We start from the raw sequence: 22,852 nt of genomic DNA on the forward strand, positions 1-22,852 counted from the left end.
TCTAAATATTTAATCCTAATAGAATCTTCTATGTCCTGCAGACCTCCCATGCTGGCACCAGTGGAGTCTAAAGTGAAATTGGGCTGGGCACGGTGGCTTATGCCTATGAGAGGCCAAGGCAGGAGGAGCACTTGAGCCCAGGAGTTCAAGACCAACCTGGGCAACATAGGGAGATCCTGTCTCTACAAAAAAAATACAAAAATTAGCCAGGCACAGTGGCATGCTTTTCTTGTCCCAGCTACTCAGGAAGCTGAGGTGAGTTTGAGGTCGCAGTGAGCTACGACTTCACCACTGTGCTCTAGCTGGGTGACAGGGCAAGACCCTGTCTCAAAAATAATAATAATAATGTGAACTTGATTGCAGGTACACCTGTTATCAGATGCTAGAGGACTCAAGTGAATCATCAAGTGAATCAATAAAACAAAAACTTGAGTTATATCAATTAATAGAAAATGTTTCCTCTTTATACACAGCATTTTCTTCTTTTTTTTTTTTTTTTTTTTTTGCGATGGCATTTCACTCTTGTCGCCCAGGCTGGAGTGCAGTGGTGCCATCTTGGCTCACTGCAACCTCTGCCTTCAGGGTTGAAGCCATTCTCCTGCCCCAGCCCTCCTGAGTAGCTGGGACTACAGGCACCTGCCACCATGCCCAGCTGATTTTTGTATTTTTAGTAAAGACAGGGTTTTGCCATGTTGGCCAGGCTGGTTGAACTCCTGACCTCAGGTGATCCACCTGCCTCGGCCTCCCAGTGTTGGGATTACAGGCGTGAGCCACTGTGCCCAGCCTATACACAGCACTTTCAACCACCATCTGTAAAGAGATACAAAGTACCTCCTGCTTCAAGAAAGGGTTCCTATGAATCTATAATAAATCCACTAAAACCAGTGAAGTTCCATTAAATATAGGGGCTGAGATCCTAATTTCCATGTAGAGACAAGGAGAATTAGTCCCCTCCATAAACCTGCAAAGAGATCACATATTCAAGTAGGACTAGATCCGTGAGCACACACACAAAGTTATCTATATGAAATCAGAATCCCAGGCCTTTACCATGGGTGTAAGTGTAAGGTCTGGGTTTATGCTAAGTGTTTTATACTGTAAGAACCACAAGTCAAGAAAATAAAATCAATTCTGGCACCCCAGCAGAAACAAATACAAAAACTGCCCTTTAGGGAGAGTTTCTAATAGGGTCCCATAGGATTATCATAGAAGGAAAGATTAAGCCTACATACATACCATCTACAGGAGGAAAAGCCAGCAGATAAAAGTAGAATTCTTTAAGAAGTACAAATAAAATAAATCATAAAACAGATAGGAAAATACTATGAAAGATTAGACATTTGAAAACCAATAAATGAGAAACAGTTCTCAATGCATTTTACACACATTTGAAGAGAGAATTTGTGAACTGGAATGTTGAACAAGAGAATCTTGTTAGGAGGTCCAGAAGGAAAGGGAGATCATGGGAACAGAGACAAGTCACTCTTAGGACTATTTTCTATATGTCCCTGCATCTAATCCATCAACAGTTTCTACCATCTCTAGCTACAAAATATATTTCAAATCTCTTCACCTGTCTTCATCTCCACTGCTACTACTGTAGTTCTGTGATACCGTAACTTGTATTAACCTGATTGACTCTCTCTTAGCTGAGAAAGCCAGATGGATTCCATTTGGCTCCTTCATTTGCAAGACATTAAGGGCTCCTTACCCACCCCCTTCCTCAAGGACTTAACTTGTGCAAGCTGACTCCCAGCACATCAAAGAGTGCAATTAACTGATAAGGTACTGTGGCAAGCAAGCTATGTCCACAGTGCCCAGGAATTTGCTCAGGTGATAGTACTCTAAAGCCCCCGCGTTTGTGTCCAGCAGATATCACCCAGAGCCCCCACACCTATCACCTTGTGATGAATTTAAAGCCCCTGCACCTGGAACTGTTTGTTTTCCTGTAACCGTTTGTCTTTTTAACTTTTTTGCCTGTTTTACTTCTGTAAGATTGCTACAGCTAGGGTCCCCCTCCCCTCTCTAAACCAAAGTATAAAAGAAAATCTAGCCCCTTCTTCGGGGCCGAGAGAATTTTGAGCGCTAGCCTGTCTCTCGGTCGCCGGCTAATAAAGGACTCCTGAATTAGTCTCAAAGTGTGGCGTTTCTCTATGACTCGCTTGGTTACAACTTTTCCCACCACCACCTTGCCTCTCCTAGACTACTGTCATCTTACTGGTCTTCTTACTTGCCGAATCCACCAGTGTCGTCCTGTCATCTTCAGACCAAATCAAAATTCCTTACTATAAGCCCTACAAGTTGTGGCCCTTGCCCATCCCTCTGACTTTGTCTCTTGTCATATCCCACTATGTTTACCTCCAATCAAGTCAGTATGTCCTCCTTGCTGTGCCTCAACATAAAACCACATGTGTTTCCATCTTAGTTTTGGTTCTGGTACAGCTGGGTAAATGGTATATGTATTATGGGAGAGATGGGGAAGACTGAAAAGGGAGTATTAGGGGATGGGTGGAGGTGGAAAGTAGGAAGTCAAGAATTCTGTTTTGTTCATGTTAAATATGAGGTGCCTGTTAGATGCATCAAAGTAAGGATACAGAGTAGGTAGGCAGATATAGGAGTCTGGAACTCAAAGAAAAGGTCAAGACTAGAGAGAGAAATTTAGAAGACAGTATTTTAAGGTATGGGACTGCATGAGAGCTCCTGGGGTTTACTTATATAATGGGAATCCTATAGAGCAGTAAGAGTCAATGAGTAACTAATAAAACATTGTTGAATCTCAAAACAGCAGTGAGTTTTTAAAAAGTATACTTTGAGTCCATTTAGATGAAGATCAAAAACAAAATATTGTTTATGGCTGTACAAAAACAATCACACATATGGTTATTTCACATTTTAAGAATAAAAATTGTCAGTCATATGAACATTTACTGATTGTTTCCTACTATGTACTAGACACAGTGGGAGAAACTCAAAGACGAGTGAGGAAGGAGGATACTGCAGCCAACAGTTGGCATTGTTACATTAATTTTAGAAAAAGTAGCCTTCGGGCAAAAAGTATTACTTGGAGTAGAGGGTATCTCCTAAAGATAACAGATTCAGGCACAGACGTGGTGGCTCACACCTGTAATCCCAGCACTTTGGGAGGCCAAGGCCAGCAGATCACCTGAGGTCAGGAGTTTGAGAATGGCCTGGCCAACATGACGAAACCCCGTCTCTACTGAAAATACAAAAAATTAGCTGGGCATGGTGCTGCAAACCTGTAGTCCCCAGCCACTTGAGAGGCTGAGACAGGAGAATCGCTTGAACCTGGAAGGCGGAGGCTGCAGTGAGCCAAGATCACGCCACTGCACTCCAGCCTGGGCGACAGAGTGAGAATCAGTCTCAGAAACAACAACAACAAAAAACATACATCCAAAAAAAAAACAGATTCAGTTAACCAGGAGAATAAAGCAATTCTAAATTAATACGCACTTCAAAAACATGGACAAAACTACAAAAAGAAATGGACAAGTCCAAGGTCATAGTGGGATTTTAACACACCTCTCTCAATAAAACAAGTGGACCAGAAGAAAACATGCAAAAAGATATAGACAATTTTAGTACAGTGAACAAGTGTGATTTAATTGACTCATATCTATACTCACATATATAGGTGTGTATATATGTGCGTGTGTGTGTGTATAGAGACAGAGAGAGAGACTTTTTTTTTTTTTTTTGAGATGGAGTTTTGCTCTTGTTGCCCAGGCTGGAGTGCAATGGTGCAATCTTGGCTTACTGCTACCTCCATCTCCTGGGTTCAAGAGATTCTCCTGCCTCAGCCTCCCAAGTAGCTGGGATTACAAGCTTGCACCCCCATGCCTGGCTAATTTTTTGTATTTAGTAGAGACGGGGTTTCACCGTGTTGGTCAGTCTGGTCTTGAACTCCTGACCTCAGGTGATCCACTTGCCTCGGCCTCCCAAAGTGCTGGGATTACAGGTGTGAGCCATTGCACCTAGCTGAGAGAAACTTAACAACTTCAGAATACATTCTACATTCTTTGGAAGCTCATGGGCAACATGGACCCAAAGTGACCATTATGCTGAGCCATAACTTCTGGCAAATTTCAAGAAATTGAAATCATACATACTGTCCTCTTTCTGTGCTCCGACAATATACCTTAGATCCTAGCCAGTATGGTAACAGTAAAAATATGAAGACAATACAGATTAGAAAGAAAGCAAGCTTGCTTTATTCACAAACAACATGACCGGGTGGAAAATCCCAAAGAATCTACCAAAAAAGCTTCTAGAATTAAGTGATTTAGCAAGCAACAAAATCCAGGAAGTAGATAAAAGTTTTACAAAATATGTAAAAGGTCTGCTGAAAACTATACAACAGATAAATCAAAAAGACCTTCAAAAATAGATGTACCATGTTCATGGAACACTTAGAAGTGGTTAAGGTAATTTTTTTTTTTTTACTTCAATTAAAAAATTAAAGAGATCGAGAAAACTGCTAACAAAAAGAAAGCTGGGATAGCTCAAAGAATTAATAACAAAATTATTAGAGATAAAGAGGGGCATTATATAATAAAGGGACCAATTCTCCATGAAAATAACAATTTTTAATGTGTACACACCTAACAGAGCATCCAAATATGTGGGGGCAAAAATGGACAGAACTGCAAGGAGAAATAAATCTGCTGTTAGAGGCTTCACACATTTCTCTCAATAATTGACAGATCTAACAGGCAGAAAATCCTTAGGATTTTCTGAACAATAGTCAACAGAAGAGTAAACATACTTCTTAAGCTGACATGGAGCACTGACCAAGGTAGACCATATTCTGGTCCATCACACCTCAACAAACTTAAGTATGCTCTTAGACACAATGGGATTAAACTACAAATCAGTTAACAGAAAGATAGCCGGATAATCTCCAAATATTTGGGGGTTTAACATGTGGGTCAAAGAAGAAATCTCAAGAGAAATTAAAAATATTTTGAAGACAGTGAAAATACAACTTGATGGGATGTGGTAAAAGCACTTGAGAGAAATGTATAGCATTGAATGCAGTTAGTAATGAAGAAAGATCTAAAACCTAAGCTTTCACTTTAGGAAATTAGAGAAAGAAGAGTAATATAAAACTAATGCAAACAGGAGAAAAATAAAAATTAGAGCAAAAAAAAATGATGTTGAAAATAGGAAAAAGAAAAATCAATAAAGGATAAATCTCCGACCAGGCTAACAAAGAAAAAAGAAGACATTGCTCATATCAGAGAGGCCATCCCTATTGAGAACATGGGTATTCAAAAGATAATAAAGGAATAGGATTAACAACTCTGCCCACAAATTTGACAACAGATGAAACGGATCAGTTCCTTGAAAGGCACAATCTACTAAAATCCACACAAGGAGAAATAGATAATCTGAGCCCATATATACTAAAGAAATTGAATCAATTTTCTGAAACAGAAAGCTCCAGACTGAGATGAATTCTACCAAACATCTAAAGAAGAAATGATATCAATTCTCTATAGTGTCTTCCAGAAGATAGACGCCAAAGGAATTCTTTCCTGCTCGTTGTATGAGAACAGCATTACAGAAGCATCTCCCTCACCACCAATCCATGGTTGCTCTTTCCTTCTTTTTTTTTTTTTTTTTTTGAGACAGTCTCGTTCTGTCACCCAGGCTGGAGTGCAGTGGCACAATCTTGGCTCACTGCAACCTCCGCCTCCTGGGTTCAAGTGATTCTCCTGCCTCAGCCCCCCAAGTACCTGGGATTACAGGTGCGTGCCACCATGCCCAGCTAATTTCTGTATTTTTTAATTTTGTATTTTTAATTTTTGAAGTGACAGGGTTTCACCATGTCGGCTAGGCTGGTCTCAAACTCCTGACCTCAGGTGACCCACCTGCCTCGGCCTCCCAAAGTGCTGGGTTTACAGGCATGAGCCACTGTGCCTGGCCTCCTCTTGTTCAGTTACCTGTGGTCAATTGTGGTCTGAAAGTATTAAATAGAAAGTTGCAGAAATAAACAATTTGTAAGTTTAAGCACCATCCTGGGTAACTTCATGAAATCTCTTGCCATCCTGCTCCATTTCACCCGGGTGTGAATAATCCTGTCTAGGATATTCATAACCTGTATACATTACCACCCATGGTGGCTGATATTGTCTGCTCCTGACATCCAGCCATCAACACCATTACAGCTTGACGATCCAGGATCACCTGAAGCAGATGATCCCCCTGAGGTATTAATATCATCAGGTTAAAGTGGCCTAAGGCTACATACATCACAGTGCCCACACCATTCACCTCACTTCCCCTCATTGAATTTTATCATTGCATCATCACAAGAAGGGTGGGTATGGCAAAGATTTAGAGAGAGACCACATTTGCATAACAATATAATTCTTCTATTTTATCAGTAGTTGTTAAGCTCTTACTGTGCCTAATTAAAAAACTTTATCATAGGCATGTATGTATAGGAGAAAACATAGTATATATAGGGTTCAGTATTATGTGATTTCAGGCATCCACTGGGGGTCAACATATTCACCACCGATAAGCGGGGGGACTATTGTGAACTACTGTACTCTAATATAAAACCAGATAAAGACATTACAAGAAAAATATGCACCAATATCTCTCATGAACATAAATGCAAAAATCCTCACTATAGAACTTCCAGAAAATAACATACAAGAAAATCTAGATGACCTAGAATTTAGTGATGACTTTTTAGATACAACACCAAAGACACCATCTGTGAAAGAAAATAACTGTTAAGTGAAAGATGCTAAGCTGGGTGCCGTGGCTCACGTCTGTAATCTCATCACTTTGGAAGGCCAAGGCAGGTGGATCACTTGAGGGCAGGAGTTCAAGACCAACCTGGCCAACATGGCAAAACCCCATCTCTACAAAGTAAAAAATAAAAAAATTAGGCGAGCATGGTGGCACATGCCTGTAGTCCCAGCTACTCGGGAGGTAGAGGTTGCAGTGAGCCATGATCATGCCACTGCACTCCAGCCTGGGCGACAGAGCAAGACTACGTCTCAAAAAAAAAAAAAAAAAAATCTGTCACTAGAATGAGAAGAAAAGCCACAAACAGAAAACTATCTGTAAAACACATAAAGGACTTGTATCCGAATTTTGCAAAAATTTGAGTTTAGTCTTAAAACTAAAGAAAACTATTAACCCAGTTAAAAAATTGGCAGTAGGTCTGAACAGACACCTCACCCAATAAGATACACAGATGGCAAATAAGCATATGAAAAGATGCTATATGTCACATATCATTAAGGAATTGCAAATTAAAACCACCAGATACCACTAAACACCTCTTAGAACAGTGAAAATGCAAAACACAATACCAAATGCTGAAAAGGATACAGAACAACAGGAACCCATTGCTGGTAGAAACATGCAAAATGGTACAGCCACTTTGGAAGAGTTTGGCAGTTTCTTACAAAGCAATACAAGGTCTTACTATACAGTCAAGCACTCATACTCATAGATATTTACCCAAATGAATTGAAAACTTATGTCCACACAAAATCCTACACATGGATATTTATTTTGTCAGAGCAGAAGAACCACACAAAATCCTGCACATGGATATTTGTCAGAGCATAAGAACTTGAGCACATGGCTATTTATAGCAGCTTTATTCATAATTGCACCAAACAAGAAGCAACCAAGATGTCTTTCAGTAGGTAAATGGATTTTTAAAAAAGGTACATTCATATAATGAAATATTATACAGTGATTAAAAAGAAATGAGTAATGAATCTAGGAAAACACACGGAGGAACCCTACATGCATCTGCTGTGTGAAAGAAGCCAGTTTGAAAAGGCTGCATATTGTGTGATTCCAACTACATGACATTTTGGAAAAGGCTGAAACTATAGTGACAGTCAAAAGTCCAGGGGTCCAGAGGAGAGAGAAGGGATGAACAGCTAGAACACATGGGGTTTTCAGGGCAGTTAAATTCTTCTGTGTGACACTATATAATGGTGGTTAAATTATGCATTTGTCAAAACTCAACAATGTACAGCACAAAGAGTGAACCCTAATGTAAACTGTGGATGTTAATAATAATGTATCCATATGAAACAATTGCTGATCCTTAAAAATGTACCACATTTTAGCTGTTACTTTTCCAAGCACAGCTATATTTAAAAAAAAAAAAAGACCACACTAACGCAAGAAGATGTTAATAATAGGAGAAACTGGGGGAAGGATGTTGAGAGGCTCTGGGGGAACTCTGTACTATCTGATCAATTTTCGGTACCATTTGAGCACTTTTAAATTGCTCTGTAAAATAACTTAAGAATTGGCCGGGCGCAGTGGCTCACGCCTATAATCCCAGCACTTTGGGAGGCCAAGGCAGGCGGATCACGAGGTCAGAAGATCGAGACCATCCTGGCTAACACGGTGAAACCCCGTCTCTACTAAAAATACAAAAAATTAGCCGGGCGTGGTAGTGGGTGCGTGCCACTGCACTCCAGCCTGGGCGACAGAGCGAGACTCCGTCTCAAAAAAAAAACCAACAAAAAAAGAATAGCCACAGGGGCTGACGCGGTGGCTCATACCTGTAATCCCAGCACTTTGGGAGGCTGAAGCAGGTGGGTCACTTGAGGCCAGGAGTTCGAGACCAGCCTGGCCAACTCGGTGAAACCCTGTATCTACTAAAAATAGAAAAAATTAGTTGGGTGTTGTGGCACAGACCCGTAATCCCAGCTACTGGGGAGGCTGGGGTGGGAGAATCACTTGAACCCGGGAGGTGAGGTTGCAGTGAGCCAAGATTATGCCACTGCACTCCAGCCTGAGCGACAGTCTCAAAAAAAAAAAAAAAAAAAAAAAAGACACATGATAAAAACAATCCAGTCAGAAAATAGATATAGAGACATTTTGCTGAAGAGGATATAAAAAATGGCAGATATGCACATGAAAAAATGTTCCACAGTATTAGCCATTAGGGAAATAGAAGCTAAAACCACATTGGGATATTACCACACACCTATCAGAATGACCAAAATAAAAAGTAGTGACAATACCAAATCATGAGGACTCAGAGAAACTGCATCACTCATATTTTGGTGGATGTGTGAAATGGTAGATTTGCTCTAGAAAAGAGTTTTGTACTTTCTTAAACTTCAGACTACCATATGACCCTGCAGTTGCCCTCCTGGGCATTTATCCCAGAAAAAAATGAAGAGATGTTCACTCAACCACCTGTACATGACAGTTTATAGCAGCTTTATTTAATAGCCCAAAACTAGAAACAATCCAGATGTCCTTCAGCAAGTAAATCGTTAAACAAACTGGTGCATCCATACCACAGACTACCACTTGGCAATAAAAAAGGGATGAACTATTGATACATACAAATGGGATGAATCTCCAGATAATTATGCCCAAAAATGAAAGTCCCAAAAGGTTATATATTGCTATTTCCATTTATTTAATATTCTTGAAATAAGGAAGTTACAGAACTGGAGAATAGATTCGTGGTTGCCGGGGGTAAAGAAGGGTGCAATGGGAGGGAAGTGGGTGTAACTGTAAAAGGGAAACCTGAGTGTTCCTTGAGGTGATGAAAATGTTCTGTATCTTTACTGGATCCATGTTAATATTCTGGTTGTGATCCTGTAATACAGTTTTGCAAGTTTTAGAAGGAAACTGGGTAAAGAATACATGGGATCGCTCTTATTTCTTACAACTGTATATGAATCTATTTCAAAATTAATGTTTACTCAGACTATAATGTAGAAGTGGGGCCCATAGATCTTGGATGTTAAATAAGGCTGTATAGGCTGGGCATGGTAGCTCATGCCTGTAATCCTAGCACTTTGAGAGGCCGAGGCAGGTGGATCACCTGAGGTCAGGAGTTCAAGACCAACCTGACCAACACGGCAAAACCCTGTCTCTACTAAAAATACAAAAATTAGCCAGGCACGGTGGTGGGCACCTATAATCCTAGCTACTCGGGAGGCTGAGGCAGGAGAATGGCTTGAACCTTGGTAGGGGGTGGGAGCGGGGGCAGGTAGCAGAGGTTGCAGTGAGCCGAGATCACACCATTGCACTCCATCCTGGGCGAAAGTGCAAGACTCCATCTCAAAAAAAAAAAAAAAAATGCTGTGTAGGCAAATCAGTATACGTACTGCAGGAGTCATTAGCTTTCAGTGTTTGATGCTCACTACTCAAGAATCAACTGCAGAGATTAATGGATGAAATTTTTAACTTTATTTCTTTACTCCATGCCTTCTCCCAGATTGTCTAAACTTTTTTTTCAAAAACCCCTCTAGGATGTTGGTAGGCTTAAGGAAGAACAGAAAGGAACCTGAAGGTGGGGAGAGAATAAAACTGGGAGCAAGGAAATTGAAGTTGGGGTGATTGGGAAAACAGGCCAGCCTGGGTGGGCATCTGGTGGCAATGACAAGCCAGAAAGGAAATCTGGTTTTCAGGAGTATAAAAAGTGAATTATATGAAGGTTGCTTGGAAGAAAATTCCATTTTGTCCAATATCTGCTTTTAACTTTCACAGGGCTCCTGTTTTGTTTGGTTTTAGTGCTCCATTGAAACTTACAGACAAGTACACAGATCATAGTGTACAACTCAATGAATATTCACAAAGTGAACACACTTTGTATATCCAACACCCAAATCAAGAAATTCACCAGCACTCTAGATGCTGCTTTCAAGCCCCCTCGCAGTTACTCCTTTGCACATTTATATAAATGGAATCATACACTGTGTACTCTTTTTGTGTCTGGCTTATTTTGACCAACATTAAATGTGTGAGATCTTTCTGTAATGTGGCATGTTGTAGATCTTCATTCTCCCTGTTGGGTAGGATTCCATATGTGGATATGCTATAATGTATCCATTCTAATACTGTAGGCCATTTGGATGGCGTTCAGTTTGGGGCTGTACAAATACTGCTGCTGTGATTATTCTCGTACATGTCTTTTGAACATACTACATATTTTTGGTGGGCATACACCAATGAGTGAAAAAGTGGGTCACAGGATATAGACAAATTCAGTTTTTATAAATGTTTTCCAAAATGGCTGTACCATGCTGTGGTTTGAATGTGTGCCCACAGAAGTTCATGTGTTGGAAACTTAATCCCCAATGCAACAGTGTTGGGAGATGGGACCTAAGAGGTGATGAGGTTGTGAGGGCAGAGCCCTCATAAAGGGATTAGTGTTGTTATCTAGAGAGTGGCTTAGTTATCATGATAGTGGGTTGTTACAAAGCAAGTCTGGCCGCTGGTACCTCTCCCTGTCTCGAGTGCTCAGTTGCCCTTCTGCCACGTTATGACACAGAAAGAAGGCCATGCTCTTGGATTTTTTGACCTCCAGAACGGCGAGAAACAATTTTCTTTATAAATTACCCAGTCTCTGGTATTCTGTTACAGCAGCAGAAAATGGACTAAACATATCACCTTCCACTTTTACCAGTACTTATCTAGATCCTCCCTACCACGTGGCATTTTGTGTCTTTTAAATGTTAGTCATTCTAGTGGGGGATGTACTGGAATTGCACTTTGGTTTATTTATTTATTTAGAGACAGAGTTTTGCTCCTGTCCAGGCTGGAGTGCAGTGGCGCGATCTTGGCTCACTGCAACCTCTGCCTCCCGGGTTCAAACAATTCTTGTGCCTCAGCCTCCCGAGTAGCTAGGATCACAGGCATGCGCCACCACACCCAGCTAATTTTTTTGTATTTTTAGTAGAGAGGGGGTTTCACCATGTTGGTCAGGCTGGTCTCGAACTCCTGACCTTAGGTGATCTGCCCACCTCTGCCTCCCAAAGTGCTGGGATTACAGGCGTGAGCCACCATGCCTGGCTGCACTTTGGTTTTAATGATAAGTAATGAAATTGAGCAAAATGACCCTGTCTGTTTAAAAAGAGACCAGGTGCACAACTCATCACCTTAGGGTCTAAGACTTGCCAAGGGAGTTTTTCTTCCACTTACAAAGGGAGTCATTTGGTTTAGGCCTGCACTGAAGGTGACAAGTTGAATGTTTCCCTTAAGCTTAACAGTTGAGACCAGGTGCGGTGGCTCACACCTGTAATCCCAGCACTTTGGGAGGCCGAGGTGGGTGGATTACCTGAGGTCAGGAGTTCAAGGCCAGCCTGGCCAACATGGTGAAACCCTGTCTCTACTAAAAATACAAAAACTAACTGGGCATGGCGGTGGGTGCCTGTAGTCCCAGCTACTTGGGAGGCTGAGGCAGGAGAATCGCTTGAACCCTGGAGGCAGAGGTTGGAGTGACTCAAGGTCATGCCACTGCACTCCAGCCTCCAGCCTGGGCAACAGAGTGAGACTTCATCTCAAAAAACAAACAAACAAACTTAACAGCTGAGCCCAAACCAGCTTACCCAAAGGTTTGACCAGTAACAGCAAAGAAGAAAATGACATGACTTGGGCTGACCCGTGAGGGCCAGAATTAAATGTTGAGATGAGTGCTTTTGCAGTTACAGCAAAGTCCTCTTTATCTAAATACAAACAATGCCCAAACCTCAATTTTATTCCCTTCATACTACTATGTAATGGGACTGAATATAGATAAATTTCAGTTACGTTTCAGTGACCAGCAGCACTCCAGCTTGTGGGGACCCACTTGGAACCCCAGACTTGATATGAAGATGAAGATGATGATGATGATGATGATGATGAAGACGGAGTTTAGCTCTTGTTGCCCAGGCTGTAGTGCAATGGCGCCATCTTGGCTCACTGCAACCTTCGCCTTCCGGGTTCAAGCAATTCTCCTGTCTCAGCCTCCCAAGTAGCTGGGATTACAGGCGCCTGCCACCACGCCCAGCTAATTTTGTATTTTTAGTAGAGACGGGGTTTCACCATGTTGGTCAGGCTGGTCTTGAACTCCCGTCCTCAAGTGATCCACCCATCTCGGCCTTCCAAAGTGCTGGGATTACAGGCATGAGCCACAGCACCGGCCAAAGATTATTTTAAACTAAAGACATTTGAGATTCAACAGATGCAAAAGTGAGCTTTTTCAGAGCTTCCTTTATCTGAATAAAGGCAGAAACTTCTGAGAGAGAAGCTGCCGTAAATCCCCTCCCAGGGAGCTTTAGTGGGCAGAAAAGGGATGGAGACCATTGGCAACTGCATAAACAAACATCGCCAGAAACTTTCGTATCTCCTAAAACTCATTTGTATTTCCTAAAGAAACCACTTGATCTTCCCATAGATGCCCTTTTCTATGAGAGAGCTCCCCCTCTTTCCCTTATTGTTGGTTATATAAACCCCTATCTCTAATTATGGAGGAAGAAGCCACTTTTGTGCACTTCCATGTGCGTATGGATCAACTTCGTCTTTTGTTAATTTTTAGTTAATTAGCAGACCTCCAATCAAACTTAGCTGGTAGAGGAAAGAGTTTTTCCTCCTGACAATCCTTTGAATGGCAGTAGGACCCACCAATTTGGGCTTTCCTCACCCCGTTAATCAATACCCTTTATAGAACAGTTCTCGTTAAAATATTTTTAAAATCATATATTTAAAATTTGACTCCAGCGTGAGAGTGCTTATGTGAATATCGCTTCACATACATGTGCCAAAGGTCTAGTGAAACATCACCACGGCCCAGTGTTAAAGCTTAATGTCCATCCGCGCTGCTGGTGATGAGTTTTCTTTTTGGTAAAGCCGGGACCTTAGACATAACCTCTGGCCACCTCATGGGGCCTGTCGCGCACAGCCATGCAATTAGCAAGCGGGGCTGCTGCAGACTTCAGGCACAGGGAACGCCAGGACTACCGACTGATTTTCCCCGCTAGAAATAAACACTAGTAGTCATAATGGCACTATTTACTTACCTAGTCCGTCTTCACACCAACAGTTAGGACATCGGAACCTTTTTTCTTTTTTTTTTTAAATCAAGGGACAAATGTGTGCTCCTAGTCAGACCGGCCGTCTGAAAGTAGGATTCCAATTGTGGCCTTAATGTATGTTATTATTTCTAATAAAAGCAGACTTAAAAGGGGCTCAAACACATTTTTCTCTCCATTTGGGCCAGGGGAGGGGGACCAAAGGGACCAGAGAGCTCCAAACGTTCCATCCGATCCCAGCGGCACAAGGGCTGAGCCTCCTGGTTTCCCTAGGTGAATAGGGGGCACCTGCTCCCTGCCAGGTGAAAGCTGGTGCTGAATAGAGCAACGTGCAAAGCTGAGCCTCGCGCAGAGCCAGGAGCGACTCCCCCAGGGTGGGCCCTGAGCTGCCCTTCAGGCCCGGTGGCACGGAGGGGCGCGGGTCACCGGCCCGGGTGAGCTTACCTGCAGGGCTGCGGCCAGGAGGAAATGCGCCACCGCCCAGGCCAGGGCCCCTGGGTGCGGGAGGGGCAGAACGTGGGACCTGGAGCGGGGACCGAAAGGGTGCGGGCGGGAGACTATGGGTGGGGCGGCCTGGGAGGGAGCCTGAGACAAGACCCGACGCCCCCAGCCGCTCCACGTCGCTCTGCAGAGCGGCTCTCCAGCGGCCCCGTCCTCTTCCAGGCGTACTGGGCGCGCCTGGCCTCGACCGCCGTAGGAAGGCGCTGCATGGGCCTGAGGCACCGACACAGCGGTTTCCTATCATGGGGGTGATCGCCGGGGAGTTGAAAAATACCTGTGGCCAGACCCCAGCCTAACCCAAGTGAATCTGTCTCGGGGACCGGGCTGGGGGGACGCTGGTCCCTGCTTGTTCTGAAGGCCCCGCAGGGGATTCGCTGGTGCAGCCACTTGTGATCCGTTTTCTAAATGGATTAGTCAGTACATGGCTTCTAGCACACCCAAAATCGATAGGGATTTTTAAAAGACGCATTTTCTGAAAAATCGGAGAGCCAGGTGTGAAAGATAAAGCGAAGTGGCACACCTACCTTTCCACTGTTTTGGTTGCGATTTTGAGAATTGGTTTCATGTAGCAAGTCTGGCATAAAAACCCAACTGCACCTCTAAAAAGGTGTGTTCACATGTGTCAACAAATACTTTGTTGCAAATATACTTGCATGTTTTTCATAAACGAGTGTTACTTGTGTCAGAGAAAGGGTGAATTCTGCTGTACTTAGTCTGCTTTAAAGGGATTTGTCAAAAAAAAGAGTTAAGCAAATTGGAATGCACCAATGTTCCCAGATGTGAACCATATACTCCAAGTTATTCCTCAGCAAATGCAACGGATGACAAGTGTCAGTACTTCATACAACTAGATTTAATAAGTTGTTATTACAGAAAAAAATGAAGTCCAAACTACAAAGTTTAAGCAGTTGTAAGCAGTAGCTGCATTGAGCTCCATGTTTAGTCACAGTACTGTAGTTCCATACAAGCAATATTAGTCCAAGCCCCAAAGGCAGAAGCTGAGTAAGGGTTACTAGCAAAAAACAATCTAAGAGAACAGGTAATAAAAGATACAATACATTTAAAATTAGTTGTTAGTTGAAAAACAAATACAGAGATCCTAGCTGTGAACACTCTAAAAGTTAAGTCCATTATTTTGACAGCAAAAAATACAAATACCTAATACTTTATACCCCAACAGAACTATATCCAGGAAAGAAAAAGAGCAGAAGTTATCCTGTGTTAGCACCCAAGTTTTCTACTTGTTGCAATTAACTTTGTCGTCATACAAATTTAAACATCCCCTAATCATGTAGCCACTTCTTGACCCATTTTGGGGTATAAAGTCAACAGCATTAATTATAAAACACTCTGTGGTAAGATGGAACACTATTGCAGCTGAGATAGAGAAGTTTGGTTATTATAAAAGAAAAAAAAAAACAAATGTTAGCTGACATACCATACAAGCTAGTGAAAAGCAACAATCCATTCAAATAAGCCAGTTTTAACAAAAAGATACATTTTTTTCACTAATCTGTGACTAATCTTTCACTCAAACCTTGCAAGTAGAGATGTCACAATACTCAAATATTTAGGTAGGAGCTTTACCCAGTTAAATGCCATTTTTGTTGCTAATATAATAGATAAAATGAAAACTAGCAGTTATTTGCTAATTGCATAAATGCAGTACATTCTGCATTAGCCCATGCCTCACTAACAAGCTATAAAACACAAGATATAGGCAGAAATCTAAGCATAATCTTTATACCACTAAGCAAGAATTTTCCACTTTTCTTCTGTTCCTAATCATTTATTTGTAGTTAATGTAAAATTCCAACCAGTAGTACCCAATTTGAGTTAAAATTTTACATCACAACTTGATCTAATCTATATATTATTTACAAAACTGAATACATAGAGCATACCCAAGACCAACTCTGGACACAAGTTTCTCTGAGTTATTGATGAACCTCGCCTCCATAGCGATGGAGCTGAAAGAGGCCATCAACCACTAGTAGAAACATATCATCTATCTGGATCAAGTCATTGGCTGTTCTGTTTACGCAACACCAGTTTTGCAGTTGTAGTTTTTGCTTTGACTGTAGGTGCTATTGCAATGACACATTAATGACTGTGCCTTAACTGCCCAGCTTCCAGGTGAGGAGGGTGTTGGAAAAGCAGCAGCAGAAAGGCAGACAGATCATGCACGCAGTTGCCACAATGAAAGGCAAGGGGCACCAGAACAGGAAGCAGGCATGGGTGTGGAGGAAGATGCAACCCGACACATAGTCAGGGTCCACAGACAGTGGTGACATCCGAGTGTGCTTCCTCAGTGCCACCAACTGAGCCTTACAGGGAGGCAGCATGAGTGAGACCCTGCAGGTGAGGTCTGCAGTACACCACGAAAGCCGTGTCCTCTTAGCAACTTCCTGTATGACTCCGATATCACCACTGTCAGTGCACATAAAAGATTCGGCCTGGGAGAAAGGCACTGTCTCACACAAGGACAGCAGTTGGTGGCAGTTTTTCTCTCTCTCTCTCTCTCTCTCTCTCACACACACACACACACACACGACATAATGACGAGTTAGAGGGGAAAAAGCAATGAAACATTCTGTTGACTTAGCCAGATTTTAAACCCAGTGGTACTTCGGTTGGGTGACTTCATTCTCAGGGCCACAGGTTTGGCTGCACCTGGTGTTGTATAAATCCACCGTGACATCCCTAGAGAACTGCACTGTGACATCCCTAGTCTTACACTAAACCACTGTGATAAAGGAAAAGGCTTCTCAAAATCTCACATGTTCTGCTCATTCTGTCATTTTATTACCCAATTATCCATTACATTTCCAATCACTTTACATAACCAAGCATTTTCATCGTTGTCACACTATTGTAAACCACATCAGCAAGTTAATACATAAAGCTTTGCATTTCAAAAAACTAGACACTTTAGTAACAATATTACAAAGGTTTTAGCTTCAAAAATAACTGAAAATGAAAAAAATAAACTTTTAAAGAATTAGCATCATAAAATTAATTTATTCCAATAAAAATACAAAATAATATTATGACATTGACCAGATATGAAAGTCCCTCCCAGAAACAACTCTATTAATGATTGAGAAAGCACTCCTTAAAGAAAATACGAAATAAAATGAAAAATATGTAAATATGTTTAATTTTTTTCTTAGCAAAAAATCTTTCTAAAAATAACAATGAAAATTTGTCTCAGTACAAAGGCTACATTACTATTGAAAAAATACCAGCATGAAGAAAAGGTACATATTTGACAGTAGAAAAATGATTTCAGTGAATCACAATGTCTAAAGTTTGCAATGAAAATAAATCTGCAATAAAGATTTATGCCTTTTTTCTTTTCTTTTTTTTTTCTATTTTTTATACAAACAGTACAAACAGTATTGCACATAACAACAAATAGTCGAGGTTAGGTTATAGCCTTCAAAAAATCGACTAGTTCAAGTGTCACACCAAGGAAAGGCCACAGCAGGACCTGTGTTACCCAGGGGCTTCCCAGTCAAGTTGCAGGTCAGAACACCTCTGTGTTTTAAAAAATAATTTTTTTGAAGGACCCTCTCTTTTAATATAACATTAACAACTTGGGGGCACATTTATTTACAAAACAAAAGGGAACATGTTATAATTTAATAAACTAAAAAAGTTCTCTTTAAAAAAATACAAACAGAAGAACTCTTTCACAATCCTGGTCAGTCGCGCACAATCAACACTTGATTAGAAATATACAAATTAAGGGAAAGTAGTTTCCACCATCTATTCACAACTTTCAGCACCAAATGGAGTTTATTTTTTGTAACCTATTCTTCAGGACAATGTTTTTTGCCTTCACTTTAGCTTTATGCTGTACAATCTTCCAGCTTTTAAAAAAATCTCAGTGTTATTTTAATACATGAAAGAGGGGTGCTTCTTCAAAAAGTTTTGCTTCTTTCACATAATTAGGTAGATTTCTGTAGGTTAGATATGATCTTTAATATTATAGTTATAAAGCTCTAACTTCTTCATTTTCAAAAAACACAAATAAGCATGAAAAAAATAAAGTTACCCATCTGTTAAATCATTTTCTTGCAGAATTAAATTAATATATATTTTTCTGAATAAACTTACTTAGAAAATATCATTTTCTTTCCTATATTTCAAAATTGAGGTATTGCAAAAGATCATGTCAGTCAGAAAGCATGCCTTTTTCCTTAAAAACAAAAAAAAAAATCTGCCAACTTTTGAAAACTGTCTAGAATACAAAAAGTAGTAGTGCATAACAAAATTTCTTGTACAGATGAAAAAAAACCCACAAACATAGAAAAAAACAAACAAAACCACACCTGGGCTGGAAAAAAGCAATTATTACCAAAAAGCCTCAAAAAGGGGAGGATTCTAAAATAAGCATTTTTAATCCAGTAAAAAACTATTTTGTTTTTCCTTTTTGAAAACAAACTATAGCTTGAGAGCCAGTAATTGCAACTAAACATGGGAGAACAAAACAAAAACAAGCAACACTAACTTAAGACAGTACAAGGACATCACAGCACAGAAAACACAGCGACTTAAATCTATTCTGCAGTGTCATATCCAGTCAGATTGTCCCCAGAATTCCAAAACATAGGAAGAAGATTAAAAAAAGATTTACATAGTCTTGCAATCATTGTGTGTGTTTATATATTACTATCTGCAGCCCAAGGGTGAATGCTAGAAAAATGTCCACGCTAGTGCTAGCAGGCCTTCATTCTAGACCACGCTAGTGCTAGCAGGCCTTCATTCTACTCAAGCTTAACAGGATAAATCCAGGGAATTAAGTAGTTAGTTTCTCACTCAGACAACCAACTCTGCCCAGGCCATCTTATTTTGTACAGACATTTCTTTAGCATCACCATTACACAACTTTCTTAAAAATGTGCCTAGTTTGTCAATCTGACAACTTATCTCTATATCCTGTATATATTCTTAGTGTTTGTAAGCTAAGATGAGCTCTTTGGTTTTCTGGACAAGGTCTGAAGCTATGTAAAATGGTGCAAGCACTAAGAGATTGTAACTAAGAGCTCATGTGTTAGTTTATAATATATCAGTTATGAACTGTCAAGTTCATTAATGTCTGACAGAGGCTTTAAACAGTTAAGTTTGATCACAGTTAGACATAATCACTTTACTATATAAAATAAATTTCACAATATATAACAGAGCACCGCAAAGTACTTCATCTACCATCCACAAATTTGCTTGAAGAATATCCTACACCTAGGTTTTATATCGGTTGTAATATAGGTCATTCTGTTATGGGCTCTTCCCATTCAGAGCATTCCATTTATTGAGGCATGCCTTCCTCCGGTCAATTACCAATTCTTTGAATGAAAAAAACTTTTTTTAAAAAATGAGTATTTTTATAGCTTATATAGATTCTTAATTTGTGCATTGTGGGAACGTTTTATACTAGACATTGGATATAAAATTTATTGCATGCAGCAACCTGATTAAGTAAACATGCAGTCAGAAATAGTGACCTTCCACCGAAGCTTTCTGAAGTCTATTCTGATCTCCGTTCGGCAGCTGACTCTATCCCTAAAATCACAAAAGTGTGTTGTTGGGTTTTTGTGTTTAATTGATATCCTAGCCTGAATAGAGTATTATGGTATTAATAATACCATTTTAATAGCAGCAAAAGCTATTGCAGCATAAATTTACATAATACTAAAAGATCTAACCAAAATCCTCGGCAAAACAAAAATCAAACATGAAGGAAAAATAAAAGATCCAGCTTATGAGGTATCCTTACAAGTCAAAATAGAGAGCAACTAAAGGCTTATTTTCATGAAGGGTTATCCTTACTCTAAGTGACCCGAGCTAATGATTGCTGAATTGTTGTGAAGTTTTTGCTACATCTGCCACCTACTCACGAGTATTACCTTTGGTAAGTCTTGTCCTAGGGGCAACTCTCTAAGTTTCTGAAAATAAGTGCATGCTCCAGTTCAAAACAATCAGAACAACACCACAACAACAAACAAAAGAATCACAGACAGTAGCCTGACGGCCGCTGATGAGAATGGCAGTCTACATACTGTCACGAGTGACAAATCAGGTATAAAAAATTAAGGTACCAAGCAGACAAAGGTGTGAATCAAAGTGCAAATCAGTACCATTCTACACTCTGCAATTCTGCATTATACTGGACACTGAGTTCAGTAATATGACTGTAAATAATAATAATAATAATAAAAAGACCCAATTCTTCTTTAAAAATCGAGAACGAATGCACAGATTTCCAGAACACTGTAAGCCCTGAGGCAGTGCCCTCTCTTTTCCCTCCTTGTTATCTACTCCAGTACTTGTGGCTGGGTCGGCCCGTGGCTCAGCTCCAGCGGAACGGGACGTGACGAGGGCGGTCGCCTCCCTCCTTCACCAGCGGTTTGTGGAACTCCCGCCCGGCTCGGGAATGTATGCTCGCCCAGCAGTATTCACAGTAATACTGCAGACAGGTGACGTTGGCACAGAAGAACGGGGCAAACTTCCCACCACAGCGTGTGCCCTGGCACTCATCACACATCTGATCATCCAGCACATATGGCTTTACTTCAACCTGGACCCAAAGAGGAAAGACAGAGAAAAATGATTTAGCAAAGCTTCCTTACATGTCTTGCTTTTGAGAGTTTACACTATAGCTTCAACGTATGTCTCAATCAGACGCTGCTTTCAACTCTGCTGATACTGGATGGTGGTTGAGAGCATGGGCTTTGGAATAAGCTCCTTGATTTACATCTTGCGTGATATTAGACAAATTCTTAAAATCTCTGTGCCTCTGTTTGCTCTATCACTGTATCTGTAAAATGGGTATGTTTACACACACATAAACACATTACACACACACATTTGTGTAATCTGTAAATGGGTATAACAGTGTTTACATCAAAGGGTGCTGGGGAGGATTAAGAGGGGCTGTGCACGTCAAAGCGCATGAGCTGAATCCTGAAAGCCGGGCAGCATCTGACAATGCAGGCAAAGAAGAACATTGCAGGGAGAGGAAGCAGCCAGGACAAAGGCCATAAGCAGGAGGAGGCAGGCACATCCTTGGGAGATGCTGTAGCTGAAGCCAGGCCCGAGGGCAAGAGGCACAATGAATATGGGAGGAGCTGAAGGGAGATGCTGCTGTGAGGCTGTGCACCTCAGTGTCGTAATGACACAGCTCCCTGAGACTAACACCCCAACATTGCATACCATGGACTGGAGAGGAAAAGGGACTCACAGCTGAGGTGTTAAGAAGCTACTATAATAATTGGGGCTTTTTTATTTTTGGAACTTTCTCTGTTGACTTAATCTCCCCCCAACACTGGAAACTTCAATAGACGACAACTTTTCATCATAGCCCTTTAGGGAACCTTTTTAAATCTAAACGAAGCAAAGCTGCATGACTGAAAACCAAAAAAAGAAAAAAGTTACCACGTTCTCACCCACTTTCCTTTCCTAAAACTTTAGAAAAGAAACATCATTAACTTTATCATTTTTTTTTTTAATTATTATTTTTTGAGATGGAGTCTCACTCTGTCGCCAGGCTGGAGTGCAGTGGTGCGATCTCGGCTCACTGCAAACTCTGCCTCCCAGGTTCAAGTGATTCTCCTGCCTCAGCCTCGCGAGTAGCTGGGATTACAGGAGTGCGCCACCACGCTCGGCTAATTTTTTTCTTTTTCTTTTTTTTTTTTTTTGAGATGGAGTCTTGCTCTGTCGCCCAGGCTGGAGTGCAGTGGCACGATCTCGGCTCACTGCAAGCTCCGCCTCCCAGGTTCACGCCATTCTCCTGCCTTAGCCTCCTGAGTAGCTGGGACTACAGGCACCCGCCACCACGCCTGGCTAATTTTTTGTATTTTTAGTAGAGACGGGGTTTCACTGTGTTAGCCAGGATGGTCTCGATCCCCTGACCTCGTGATCCACCCGCCTCGGCCTCCCAAAGTGCTGGGATTACAGGCGTGAGCCACCATGCCTGGCACACTCGACTTATTTTTTGTATTTTTAGTAGAAACGGGGTTTCACCATGTTAGCCAGGCTGGTCTCAAACTCCTGACCTCAGGTGATCTGCCTGCCTCAGCCTCCCAAAGTACTGGGATTACAGGCGTAAGCCACCATGCCTGGTCGAAATAGTATCTTATTGTGGTTTTGATTTGCATTTTTCTAATGACTGACAATGTTTAGCATTTTTTTCATGTGCTTGTTGTCCATTTGTATATCTTCTTTGGAGATATACAACTCAATGGGGAAATGCATAGAGAATAATTCACATAAGAATTCACAGACAATTCACATAAAAATATTTGTATTAGCTGGTTGTGGTGGGAAGCAGCTGCAATCCCAGCTACTCAGGAGGCTGAGGTGAGAGGATCACTTGAGCCCAGGAGTTCAAGCCTGGCCTGAGCAGCATACTGTTTCCCTGGCTCTTAAAGAAAAAAAAAAAGATGTTCATATTTACTCGTAGTCAGGAGAAAAACTGATGCCATTTTATTCTCATCAGACTGGCAAACATTTAAAAG

General features: G+C 41.2%; 1 protein-coding gene across 21 annotated transcripts in view, besides 1 other annotated feature; it reads right to left on the reverse strand.

Moving 5' to 3' along the window:
* Positions 14,428–15,104: an enhancer, noted in NCBI's record as "H3K4me1 hESC enhancer chr10:93805711-93806387 (GRCh37/hg19 assembly coordinates)". NCBI's record gives its function as "activates a minimal SCP1, AML or CMV promoter by ChIP-STARR-seq in naive H9 embryonic stem cells {active_cell/tissue: H9 hESC(naive)}" and the evidence as "EXISTENCE:reporter gene assay evidence [ECO:0000049][PMID:30033119]".
* The window catches only part of CPEB3 (cytoplasmic polyadenylation element binding protein 3), a 244,542-nt gene continuing 236,855 nt past the window's right edge, over positions 15,166–22,852 (reverse strand). For all 21 annotated transcript variants that reach the window (XM_047424810.1, XM_024447895.2, XM_011539517.3 and 18 more), the window contains one exon: positions 15,166–20,913. In XM_047424810.1, the coding sequence (XP_047280766.1) occupies positions 20,686–20,913 (228 nt within the window). In that variant the 3' untranslated portion in view covers positions 15,166–20,685. The remainder of the gene's footprint in view (positions 20,914–22,852) is intronic.

Source organism: Homo sapiens, chromosome 10 (genome assembly GCF_000001405.40).
Source record: "Homo sapiens chromosome 10, GRCh38.p14 Primary Assembly".
NCBI classification, from domain to species: domain Eukaryota; kingdom Metazoa; phylum Chordata; class Mammalia; order Primates; family Hominidae; genus Homo; species Homo sapiens.